Raw genomic sequence first — 12,934 nt, forward strand, 5'->3', positions numbered from 1 at the left:
CACTCCAGCCTGGATGACAGAGTGAGACTCTGTCTCAAAAAAAAAAAAAAAAAAAAAGGTTAGGATGGCAATGATAATCCTATTGGGGGTGTATACTTCAGAATTCCTATAATTTGTAAATAATGCATCTTTCAAACTTCATTGTTTGAAATTGTTGAAAATAACACCAGTGATTTTTATTAGTTGACATCAAGGAGTTTTAAGTATGTTGTCTTTCTTTGATTCTGTGGCTCTGGGAAAGGCTGCGTGAGACTTAACCAGCCTTTTACACAGGGGAGGTGGGAGGATATGTATAAATGTGGGTAGGTATAAAGATATGATGTCCATGATCTTTGGTTTCTTTTTCAATAAATGTATCTCTCAGGGCACCAGGCTTACTTCCCTATGAACCTTTCACTATGGTGGCAGTAAAGATGCTCAAAGAAGAAGCCTCGGCAGATATGCAAGCGGACTTTCAGAGGGAGGCAGCCCTCATGGCAGAATTTGACAACCCTAACATTGTGAAGCTATTAGGTATGAAAATACAAGTGAGGATATGTATTTCATCAGAAAACAGAGGCTTTCCAAGTTTTTCTCCCCTTGTTCGTGCTTTTTCCTTTTCTCCTTGATCAGTGAGACGTTTCAGTTCCTTTTCAAATTTAGCTTCTTCACCTTGGTCTATCCCAACCCTATAGGACATTCATGGCTTAATGGATTATCCCTCTTTAAATTCATCACTTCAATTTGTCTCTGTCTTTGCTGCCTCCTATTTATAAAAATGTTTAAAATGTCCCCATTGTAAAAAATTAATACTGCTTCTCCATCACAAAATTTATCAATATTGAAAAGTCTATATATTTTACTTATTTTGTTTCTCCTCTTTCTTCCCTAACTAGAATGTCATGAGCAGCGATTTGTATCTTTTCTGTTCATTGTTGAGTTCCAGTTTATTCCCAGATTCATAAATTCAACACAAATTTTACAAATATTTAGTTTGTATTAATTACACAGCAATTAATAAAACTTTTCAAAAATCTGTGCTCTCGGCTGGGAGCAGTGGCTCATGCCTATAATCTCAGCACTTTAGGAGGCCGAGGCAGGCAGATCACTTGAGGTCAGGAGTTTGACACCAGCCTGGCGAACAAGGTGAAATCCCATCTCTACTAAAAATAGAAAAATTAGCTGGGTGTGGTGGTGTGGGCCTGTAATCCTAGCTACTCGGGAGGCTGAGGCATGAGAATCGCTTACACCGGGGGGGCAGAGGTTGCAGTAAGCCAAGATTGCACCACTGCACCACAGCCTGGGTGACAGAGTGAGATTCCATCTTTAAAAAAGGAAGAAAAAAAAAATCTGTGCTCTCATAGAGCATACATTCACTCTATATGAGGAGACAGATAATAAAAAAAAAACAAAAATATGGGATGCTGGATATTAAGTTCTACAGACTTTTTAAAGTGTTAAAGCAGAGAAGTTGGAATGTGAGCTACAAAGTTTGAAGACTTCAGTGAAAATATTACATTTATATAAAGACCTGGCAGAGGCAAGGGAATAACAGTGTGGATATCTTGGGAAAGAACATTCCAAAAAGAATGAGAAGCATTTGCAAAGGTACTGTGGCAAGAGCAGATGTGGCATGCTTGAGGAATAGCAAGGAGATGAATGTGGCTGGAGCAGAGTGAAAGATGGGGAGAGTTATCAAAGATGAGATCAGAGAGGTAATGGGGGAGGTAGGCAGGTCCTGTCAGGCCTTATTAAAAACATTGGCTTTTAATCTAAGTTGGGAAACAAATGGAGAGTTTCAGCCAAGACATGACATGACACAACTCACATTTTTTCAGATCTTCTCTGGCTGCTTTCTTGAGCATTGCATGAAGGGAAGCAATGAAATCAGGAAGACAGTAAACAGGTATTGCAATGATGCAGCAAGAGAAGATGATGGCATGGGCCAGGTGGTGGTAGTGAAGATCGTGAGAAGTGATTCTCTTCCATGTGTAATGTGAAAGTAGAGCCAAATAATTTGCTGACAGACCAAATATGAGATGTGCAAAAAAGGGAAAAGTCAAAGATAGTATCGAAGTATTTGGCTGTGCAGATGAGTGAATGGAGGTGCCATTGGCTGAGTTGAGGAATACTCAGAAGGAACAGGTTCCTTTAGTGGAGAGAGTGGGAATTCATTTAAAGATGTGGTTTTTGTCCAGGCACTGTGGCTCACGCCTGTAATTTCAACACTTTGTGAGGCCGAGGCGAGCAGATCACCTGAGGTCAGGAATTCGAGACTAGCCTGGCCAACATGGTGAAACCCCATCTCTACTAAAAATACAAAAATTAGCCGGGTGTGGTGGCACACGCTTGTAATCCCAGCTGCTTGAGAGGCTGAAGCAGGAGAATTGCTTGAACCTGGGAGGCGGAGGTTGCAGTGAGCCGAGATTGTGCCATTGCACTCCAGCCTGTGTGACAGAGTGAGACTCCATCTGGGAAAAAAAAAAGACGTGTTTTTTGGCGATGCTTATTCAACATCCACATGATCCACATGAAGTTAAGGATGCATGTGGATATGGAGGCCTAGAGTTCTGGTAAGGATGATCTGGTTAGACATGAATCCAAGGCTATTGCAGTACACAGAGTATTTAAAGCCATGAGGTTGAGTAAGACACCTAAGTATGGAGAAAGCAAGCCAGAACAGAGAAGAGGTCCAAGGACCAAGGCCTGGAGCATTCCAGTATTTAGTGTGAGAAAGAGGAGATGAACAAGAAAAACAAACTAAAAACGAGCAACCAATGAAATAGAAGTAAATCAAGAGAGTGTGGTGTCCTGGATGTCAAATGAAGTATTTTAAATAGGTGAAAGTGAGCATGTCATATGCATTAAGTCAAGTGAGAGGAGGACTATAAAGTGACCTTGAATTTGTAAACATGGATGTTCACTGGTAACCCCGAGAAGAGAGGTTTCTTAGGAATGTTGGGGGCAGAGGAAATGTAAGTGAGCTCAAAAGAAGAGGAAGAGAAAATCTGGAGAAAAAGTATAAACAACTTGTTTTGCCATAAAGGTGAACCAAGGAACATGGATAGAGCTGAAGGGGGCAGAAAGAAGCATGCTTCCTTTCATGTGGAAGTAATAGCACATTTGTAAATTAATGAGAATGATCCCGTAAAGAGAAAAATTGATGACAGGGTTGGCAAATAGTGGAAGTAACATCTTTGAACAGTGAGAGGGAATGGAATCTTGGCACTGTTGGATGGATTGGCCTTTGTAAAGAGAATGCTCAGATCAACCATAGTAATAAGAGAGAATTGGCTGGAGATTGTAGCCAGTCTCTTCTGATTGATTTAGTTTTCTCTGTGAGGTAGGAATCAAGATCTCATCTGAGGGTGAGGAATGGGAGAAGAGTTGAAGATTTGAGGAAAGAGAAGAAATAAATTGTCATCTAAGAAAATCCATTTTTACATAAAATATAAAATGGACTAGAGAAACATAATATGATTGGCAAGAACATTAAAAGCTTACTTGAAATTAGAGATTACACATTTAACATGAGACTGGTCAGCATGGTTGTGTATTTATCCAAATGCTGCCAGCTGGGCATAGACTCGTTAAGAGGAGTTAAATTTTACCAGAATTAGCATTTTGCCACACAAGTAAGTTGAAGTCAAATTGAGGCAAATAAGAGAGGTGTATGCAAAGGAGTGATTATTATGATTGATCAAGGAACTTAAGCTGTTTAAGGAAGGAAGACAAAACGTGAAGAAAGTAGGGATCATTAAAAGGGGGTAGGATCAATAGATTAAAAGTTTCAGGGGGAGGAGCCAAGATGGCCGAATAGGAACAGCTCCGGTCTACAGCTCCCAGCGTGAGCGACGCAGAAGACGGGTGATTTCTGCATTTCCATCTGAGGTACCGGGTTCATCTCACTAGGGAGTGCCAGACAGTGGGCGCAGGCCAGTGTGTGTGCGCACCGTGCGCGAGCCGAAGCAGGGCGAGGCATTGCCTCACCTGGGAAGCGCAAGGGGTCAGGGAGTTCCCTTTCTGAGTCAAAGAAAGGGGTGACGGACGCACCTGGAAAATCGGGTCACTCCCACCCGAATATTGCGCTTTTCAGACCGGCTTAAGAAACGGCGCACCACGAGACTATATCCCACACCTGGCTCGGAGGGTCCTACGCCCACGGAATCTCGCTGATTGCTAGCACAGCAGTCTGAGACCAAACTGCAAGGCGGCAACGGGGCTGGGGGAGGGGCGCCCGCCATTGCCCAGGCTTGCTTAGGTAAACAAAGCAGCCAGGAAGCTCGAACTGGGTGGAGCCCACCACAGCTCAAGGAGGCCTGCCTGCCTCTGTAGGCTCCACCTCTGGGGGCAGGGCACAGACAAACAAAAAGACAGCAGTAACCTCTGCAGACTTAAGTGTCCCTGTCTGACAGCTTTGAAGAGAGCAGTGGTTCTCCCAGCACGCAGCTGGAGATCTGAGAACGGGCAGACTGCCTCCTCAAGTGGGTCCCTGACCCCTGACCCCCGAGCAGCCTAACTGGGAGGCACCCCCCAGCAGGGGCACACTGACACCTCACACAGCAGGGTATTCCAACAGACCTGCAGCTGAGGGTCCTGTCTGTTAGAAGGAAAACTAACAACCAGAAAGGACATCTACACCGAAAACCCATCTGTACATCACCATCATCAAAGACCAAAAGTAGATAAAACCACAAAGATGGGGAAAAAACAGAACAGAAAAACTGGAAACTCTAAAACGCAGAGCGCCTCTCCTCCTCCAAAGGAACGCAGTTCCTCACCAGCAACAGAACAAAGCTGGATGGAGAATGATTTTGACGAGCTGAGAGAAGAAGGCTTCAGACGATCAAATTACTCTGAGCTACGGGAGGACATTCAAACCAAAGGCAAAGAAGTTGAAAACTTTGAAAAAAATTTAGAAGAATGTATAACTAGAATAACCAATACAGAGAAGTGCTTAAAGGAGCTGATGGAGCTGAAAACCAAGGCTCGAGAACTACGTGAAGAATGCAGAAGCCTCAGGAGCCGATGCGATCAACTGGAAGAAAGGGTATCAGCAATGGAAGATGAAATGAATGAAATGAAGCGAGAAGGGAAGTTTAGAGAAAAAAGAATAAAAAGAAATGAGCAAAGCCTCCAAGAAATATGGGACTATGTGAAAAGACCAAATCTACGTCTGATTGGTGTACCTGAAAGTGATGTGGAGAATGGAACCAAGTTGGAAAACACTCTGCAGGATATTATCCAGGAGAACTTCCCCAATCTAGCAAGGCAGGCCAACGTTCAGATTCAGGAAATACAGAGAATGCCACAAAGATACTCCTCGAGAAGAGCAACTCCAAGACACATAATTGTCAGATTCACCAAAGTTGAAATGAAGGAAAAAATGTTAAGGGCAGCCAGAGAGAAAGGTCGGGTTACCCTCAAAGGAAAGCCCATCAGACTAACAGCGGATCTCTCGGCAGAAACCCTACAAGCCAGAAGAGAGTGGGGGCCAATATTCAACATTCTTAAAGAAAAGAATTTTCAACCCAGAATTTCATATCCAGCCAAACTAAGCTTCATAAGTGAAGGAGAAATAAAATACTTTATAGACAAGCAAATGCTGAGAGATTTTGTCACCACCAGGCCTGCCCTAAAAGAGCTCCTGAAGGAAGCACTAAACATGGAAAGGAACAACCGGTACCAGCCGCTGCAAAATCATGCCAAAATGTAAAGACCATCGAGACTAGGAAGAAACTGCATCAACTAATGAGCAAAATCACCAGCTAACATCATAATGACAGGATCAAATTCACACATAACAATATTAACTTTAAATATAAATGGACTAAATTCTGCAATTAAAAGACACAGACTGGCAAGTTGGATAAAGAGTCAAGACCCATCAGTGTGCTGTATTCAGGAAACCCATCTCATGTGCAGAGACACACATAGGCTCAAAATAAAAGGATGGAGGAAGATCTACCAAGCCAATGGAAAACAAAAAAAGGCAGGGGTTGCAATCCTAGTCTCTGATAAAACAGACTTTAAACCAACAAAGATCAAAAGAGACAAAGAAGGCCATTACATAATGGTAAAGGGATCAATTCAACAAGAGGAGCTAACTATCCTAAATATTTATGCACCCAATACAGGAGCACCCAGATTCATAAAGCAAGTCCTGAGTGACCTACAAAGAGACTTAGACTCCCACACATTAATAATGGGAGACTTTAACACCCCACTGTCAACATTAGACAGATCAACAAGACAGAAAGTCAACAAGGATACCCAGGAATTGAACTCAGCTCTGCACCAAGCAGACCTAATAGACATCTACAGAACTCTCCACCCCAAATCAACAGAATATACATTTTTTTCAGCACCACACCACACCTATTCCAAAATTGACCACATAGTTGGAAGTAAAGCTCTCCTCAGCAAATGTAAAAGAACAGAAATTATAACAAACTATCTCTCAGACCACAGTGCAATCAAACTAGAACTCAGGATTAAGAATCTCACTCAAAGCCACTCAACTACATGGAAACTGAACAACCTGCTCCTGAATGACTACTGGGTATAGAACGAAATGAAGGCAGAAATAAAGATGTTCTTTGAAACCAACGAGAACAAAGACACCACATACCAGAATCTCTGGGACGCATTCAAAGCAGTGTGTAGAGGGAAATTTATAGCACTAAATGCCTACAAGAGAAAGCAGGAAAGATCCAAAATTGACACCCTAACATCACAATTAAAAGAACTAGAAAAGCAAGAGCAAACACATTCAAAAGCTAGCAGAAGGCAAGAAATAACTAAAATCAGAGCAGAACTGAAGGAAATAGAGACACAAAAAACCCTTCAAAAAATCAATGAATCCAGGAGCTGGTTTTTTGAAAGGATCAACAAAATTGATAGACCGCTAGCAAGACTAATAAAGAAAAAAAGAGAGAAGAATCAAATAGACACAATAAAAAATGATAAAGGGGATATCACCACCGATCCCACAGAAATACAAACTACCATCAGAGAATACTACAAACACCTCTACGCAAATAAACTAGAAAATCTAGAAGAAATGGATACATTCCTCGACACATACACTCTCCCAAGACTAAACCAGGAAGAAGTTGAATCTCTGAATAGACCAATAACAGGCTCTGAAATTGTGGCAATAATCAATAGTTTACCAACCAAAAAGAGTCCAGGACCAGATGGATTCACAGCTGAATTCTACCAGAGGTACAAGGAGGAACTGGTACCATTCCTTCTGAAACTATTCCAATCAATAGAAAAAGAGGGAATCCTCCCTAACTCATTTTATGAGGCCAGCATCATTCTGATACCAAAGCCGGGCAGAGACACAACCAAAAAAGAGAATTTTAGACCAATATCCTTGATGAACATTGATGCAAAAATCCTCAATAAAATACTGGCAAACCGAATCCAGCAGCACATCAAAAAGCTTATCCACCATGATCAAGTGGGCTTCATCCCTGGGATGCAAGGCTGGTTCAATATACGCAAATCAATAAATGTAATCCAGCATATAAACAGAGCCAAAGACAAAAACCACATGATTATCTCAATAGATGCAGAAAAAGCCTTTGACAAAATTCAACAACCCTTCATGCTAAAAACTCTCAATAAATTAGGTATTGATGGGACGTATTTCAAAATAATAAGAGCTATCTATGACAAACCCACAGCCAATATCATACTGAATGGGCAAAAACTGGAAGCATTCCCTTTGAAAATTGGCACAAGACAGGGATGCCCTCTCTCACCGCTCCTATTCAACATAGTGTTGGAAGTTCTGGCCAGGGCAATCAGGCAGGAGAAGGAAATAAAGGGTATTCAATTAGGAAAAGAGGAAGTCAAATTGTCCCTGTTTGCAGACGACATGATTGTTTATCTAGAAAACCCCATCGTCTCAGCCCAAAATCTCCTTAAGCTGATAAGCAACTTCAGCAAAGTCTCAGGATACAAAATCAATGTACAAAAATCACAAGCATTCTTATACACCAACAACAGACAAACAGAGAGCCAAATCATGAGTGAACTTCCATTCACAATTGCTTCAAAGAGAATAAAATACCTAGGAATCCAACTTACAAGGGATGTGAAGGACCTCTTCAAGGAGAACTACAAACCACTGCTCAAGGAAATAAAAGAGGACACAAACAAATGGAAGAACATTCCATGCTCATGGGTAGGAAGAATCAATATCGTGAAAATGGCCATACTGCCCAAGGTAATTTACAGATTCAATGCCATCCCCATCAAGCTACCAATGACTTTCTTCACAGAATTGGAAAAAACTACTTTAAAGTTCATATGGAACCAAAAAAGAGCCCGCATCGCCAAGTCAATCCTAAGCCAAAAGAACAAAGCTGGAGGCATCACACTACCTGACTTCAAACTATACTACAAGGCTACAGTAACCAAAACAGCATGGTACTGGTACCAAAACAGAGATATAGATCAATGGAAGAGAACAGAGCCCTCAGAAATAATGCCGCATATCTACAACTATCTGATCTTTGACAAACCTGAGAAAAACAAGCAATGGGGAAAGGATTCCCTATTTAATAAATGGTGCTGGGAAAACTGGCTAGCCATATGTAGAAAGCTGAAACTGGATCCCTTCCTTACACCTTATACAAAAATCAATTCAAGATGGATTAAAGATTTAAACGTTAGACCTAAAACCATAAAAACCCTAGAAGAAAACCTAGGCATTACCATTCAGGACATAGGCGTGGGCAAGGACTTCATGTCCAAAACACCAAAAGCAATGGCAACAAAAGCCAAAATTGACAAATGGGATCTAATTAAACTCAAGAGCTTCTGCACAGCAAAAGAAACTACCATCAGAGTGAACAGGCAACCTACAAAATGGGAGAAAATTTTCGCAACCTACTCATCTGACAAAGGGCTAATATCCAGAATCTACAATGAACTCAAACAAATTTACAAGAAAAAAACAAACAACCCCATCAAAAAGTGGGCGAAGGACATGAACAGACACTTCTCAAAAGAAGACATTTATGCAGCCAAAAAACACATGAAGAAATGCTCATCATCACTGGCCATCAGAGAAATGCAAATCAAAACCACTATGAGATATCATCTCACACCAGTTAGAATGGCAATCATTAAAAAGTCAGGAAACAACAGGTGCTGGAGAGGATGCGGAGAAATAGGAACACTTTTACACTGTTGGTGGGACTGTAAACTAGTTCAACCATTGTGGAAGTCAGTGTGGCGATTCCTCAGGGATCTAGAACTAGAAATACCATTTGACCCAGCCATCCCATTACTGGGTATATACCCAAAGGACTATAAATCATGCTGCTATAAAGACACATGCACACGTATGTTTATTGCGGCACTATTCACAATAGCAAAGACTTGGAACCAACCCAAATGTCCAACAATGATAGACTGGATTAAGAAAATGTGGCACATATACACCATGGAATACTATGCAGCCATAAAAAATGATGAGTTCATGTCCTTTGTAGGGACATGGATGAAATTGGAAACCATCATTCTCAGTAAACTATCGCAAGAACAAAAAACCAAACACCGCATATTCTCACTCATAGGTGGGAATTGAACAATGAGATCACATGGACACAGGAAGGGGAATATCACACTCTGGGGACTGTGGTGGGGTCAGGGGAGGGGGGAGGGATAGCATTGGGAGATATACCTAATGCTAGATGACACGTTAGTGGGTGCAGCGCACCAGCATGGCACATGTATACATATGTAACTAACCTGCACAATGTGCACATGTACCCTAAAACTTAGAGTATAACAAAAAAATAAAAAAATAAAAAATAAAAAATAAATGCATGAATACCCAAAAAAAAAAAAAAAAAAAAAAAAAAGAAGGCATTTCAGCATGCAAACAAGTAATACTTTTAGGAATTACACTGACTTCATTGTAATGCATAGGAAAAATAAATAATTCACAAATAAAAAACAAACAAACAAAAAAAAAGTTTCAGTGGGGTCAAAGGATTTTTAGAGTTAGGGCAGTCGAGGCAGTGAACTAGGGTGAAAAAGGGAGGAAGTGATGAACAACAGGTAGAGTAACTGAAAATGAGATTATGGGAGGTATACAAATGTATGGAATGACAAAGTCAGGGGTATGACAATGTGAGTGATTAGCTGAAGTTGGGCAGAGGTCTAAGGAAAGGAAGTAAAGTAATTTAGTGGTCAGGATATTGGAAGGAATCTAGATAAATATTAAAAGCAAGAATTTCTATAGTAGTATCTCGAATAGTTTCTGGCACATTGTAGGCACTCTATAAATATTTGTTCAATAAATGAATAAACGATATTAAGTACATAACAATTCATCTTGAAAACACTTCTTCCATTTCCTCAACTCCTAAACATTCATTTATTCATTCTTCATCACACAAAAATCTGAATCTGGCTTCTGCCCCCTACCCTCCTTATTTACTTTCTCAAATAGTATACATTTAGTCATTAAACAAACATACATACATGCATATTTTCAAGATTATCAAGCAATTCCTGTTTCAACTTTTCTTAAAATGTTGACTCTGTATTCGTATACAGTTTATAACATCCTGAATTCCTGAAATTGATTCAAACAGAAACTATGTACAGTTTTCCAATTTAACCACAGTAGCATGCTTATACATCACTACTTGGAGTTTTCTCTCATTTTTATTGTCCAACAAGAACTGAAACTTATGTTGCCGTTTGTTAAATGCTATATCTAAATTCCATTTGGATATCCAATGAACACAGGTTCTATTTTTTATCAAGTATACATAAGCAGTAATCATTCATGCAAGTGATTCCACTACTCTCATAGTTTCTTGTAAGTTAATCCCAGTGAAATAAGATGACAATAGTGGAAGAAAGGGGAATTGGGAAAATCCATAAAATTCACTTCTATCAATAAAAGAAATCTACTTTGTTTTATATATTTGATACATCAGCCACTTATTGAACATGTTCGTATCTTAAAAATTGTTTCCCTTTTATTGAAATCCTAGTGGATAATGGTTTTGTAGTCATAAATTGGGAAAAATGGTATAACTAAAGAAATATGCAGAATTTTAGAATGGGAGTAGGCATTGAATATTATAGACTCTTACGGAATATTCTGGCAGTGGAGCAAACAGTAGAACAATCAGGTGAGATTATTCATTGAAGATGTCATGCTAAAGTTTAAAGACATGGCTTGGGCTAGGCATGAGGTTTTCTTATGCCCATCCATCTATGCATCCATCCTTAAATCTATCCATGCATCCACCTATGCATTAATTCATCCATCCACCCATCAACATATATTGAAAACCCATAGTGAGCCATGTGTAGTATTAGACCTGAGGTTACAAGGATGAATAAAATACAGTCTTCCTCTCAATAATTATTATATTTTGAAGTCCCACCTAAGAGTTGGGTTGGAGTAATTACAATATAGAAAACATTTTGAGGTCTTAAATAAATGTATATACATATATAATTGTAAATTATATCTATACACATGTATATATAATTGTTCATAATAATCACAAAGTAGAAATCTTTTGTATAGTATTTTCTTTATCAGAGTGGAAAATTTCATTAAATCAATTTAGTTCAAAACTTTATTTCTCAGAGAAATATTTTGTCATTTTTTTCCAGTATAAGAAATTATTTTTAAATCAACTCAACCAGCATAACAATGGTAAAGCCAGTTGATGAGATAGGTAAGTCCCTGTTAACTAAAGATTATCCAAAAAGGATCCCACAGAAGAAACTTCTAAGTATTATCCAGTTGGTATTTCTTTATTTTTTCCCTTTAGTTTACAGAAATGTGCTAATTGAGGTCCTTGGAATTAAAAATTAATGCCAAAATAAATAAGCCAAGATAGCAGTATTCCTCATTTCTCCTCTTTTTCAAACAGATACTTTTAACTTTTGCCTGAAAAAACCCAATAGATCTAATAATCTATTTTTAAGATGATGTGAAATTATGCCCATCTTATCTAATATTCCAAGTTCTCCAGTTTCCCTCTCAAATATATCAAGACTTTAAGATTTGAAAATGATCTTCTGGCTTTAAATCTAAGACTTTATTTATATTAACTTTTTTGGTAGCATGAACATTGTAAAACCTAAATTTCAAAATGTTTTACTGCAGCAACTTAAATACTTCATCTAAGACACTTGAATTGTATTTGTTATTGTTTCCAAACTTGATACATCTTTCTTATTAACATCCTTCATAGAAGTAAACAGAAACAGACAGCAATTACATTACATACTCAGAGCAAGCATCCATTCATAAATTAACTCACCAAACATTATGAGGCATCTGCTCTGCCAGACACGTGGTAGGTGTGGGGAATTTTTAAAGAAGAATAAGGTTCAATCTCTCCTTTCAAAGTGCTAAAACGTTGGGGAGAAACCTCAAATAGTCAAATGATTATAAAATAGGATGGTAGGTTCTCTGTGAAAGGATGACAGTAGGAAAATCTAACAGTTACTGGAAGGATCAGGAGCTGAGGCACCCTAGGGAGAGTGATAAACTGAATCTTAAAGGCAAAGAGGAGATGTTTAGGCAGAGAAATAGGGTCAGGGTTCAACCATGGTGTTGTCAACAAAAAACCAGGGCCTCCAGATTTCAGAGAGAAGAGCCACTCCAGAGAACTGATACACCATGTACTTATATGCACCATGAACTTGATGCACCATGTACGATGTACTTATGACAAGTGCCCAGGACAACAGCGCTCTGCTGGAAGTCCTCAAAAACTTTAGCCAAGGGACAGAAACCCCACTACCCAGAGTGCATTTCCTAGCTGAGACTCCTTTTGTGTTGTGATTAAAAGGATACAAATATTAAAAAACAAACATACGACAACAACAACAAAAAACAGGGCTTCATATGTTCTGACATGGTCGTTTGCTTTTGGAGTGCTCTTTCCATTGT

The 12,934-nt window shown here is 39.4% G+C and overlaps 1 protein-coding gene across 9 annotated transcripts in view, besides 1 other annotated feature; it reads left to right on the forward strand.

Annotated features, from left to right (window-relative positions):
* Positions 1-12,934, forward strand: part of MUSK (muscle associated receptor tyrosine kinase) — a 137,768-nt gene that overhangs the window by 118,535 nt on the left and 6,299 nt on the right. For all 9 annotated transcript variants that reach the window (XM_005251994.4, XM_005251995.4, XM_017014734.2 and 6 more), the window contains one exon: positions 365-513. In XM_005251994.4, the coding sequence (XP_005252051.1) occupies positions 365-513 (149 nt within the window). The remainder of the gene's footprint in view (positions 1-364; positions 514-12,934) is intronic.
* Positions 3,491-4,063: an enhancer, noted in NCBI's record as "H3K27ac-H3K4me1 hESC enhancer chr9:113553096-113553668 (GRCh37/hg19 assembly coordinates)". NCBI's record gives its function as "activates a minimal SCP1, AML or CMV promoter by ChIP-STARR-seq in primed H9 embryonic stem cells {active_cell/tissue: H9 hESC(primed)}" and the evidence as "EXISTENCE:reporter gene assay evidence [ECO:0000049][PMID:30033119]".

The sequence above is a fragment of the Homo sapiens genome, chromosome 9, assembly GCF_000001405.40.
Source record: "Homo sapiens chromosome 9, GRCh38.p14 Primary Assembly".
Lineage (NCBI taxonomy): Eukaryota > Metazoa > Chordata > Mammalia > Primates > Hominidae > Homo > Homo sapiens.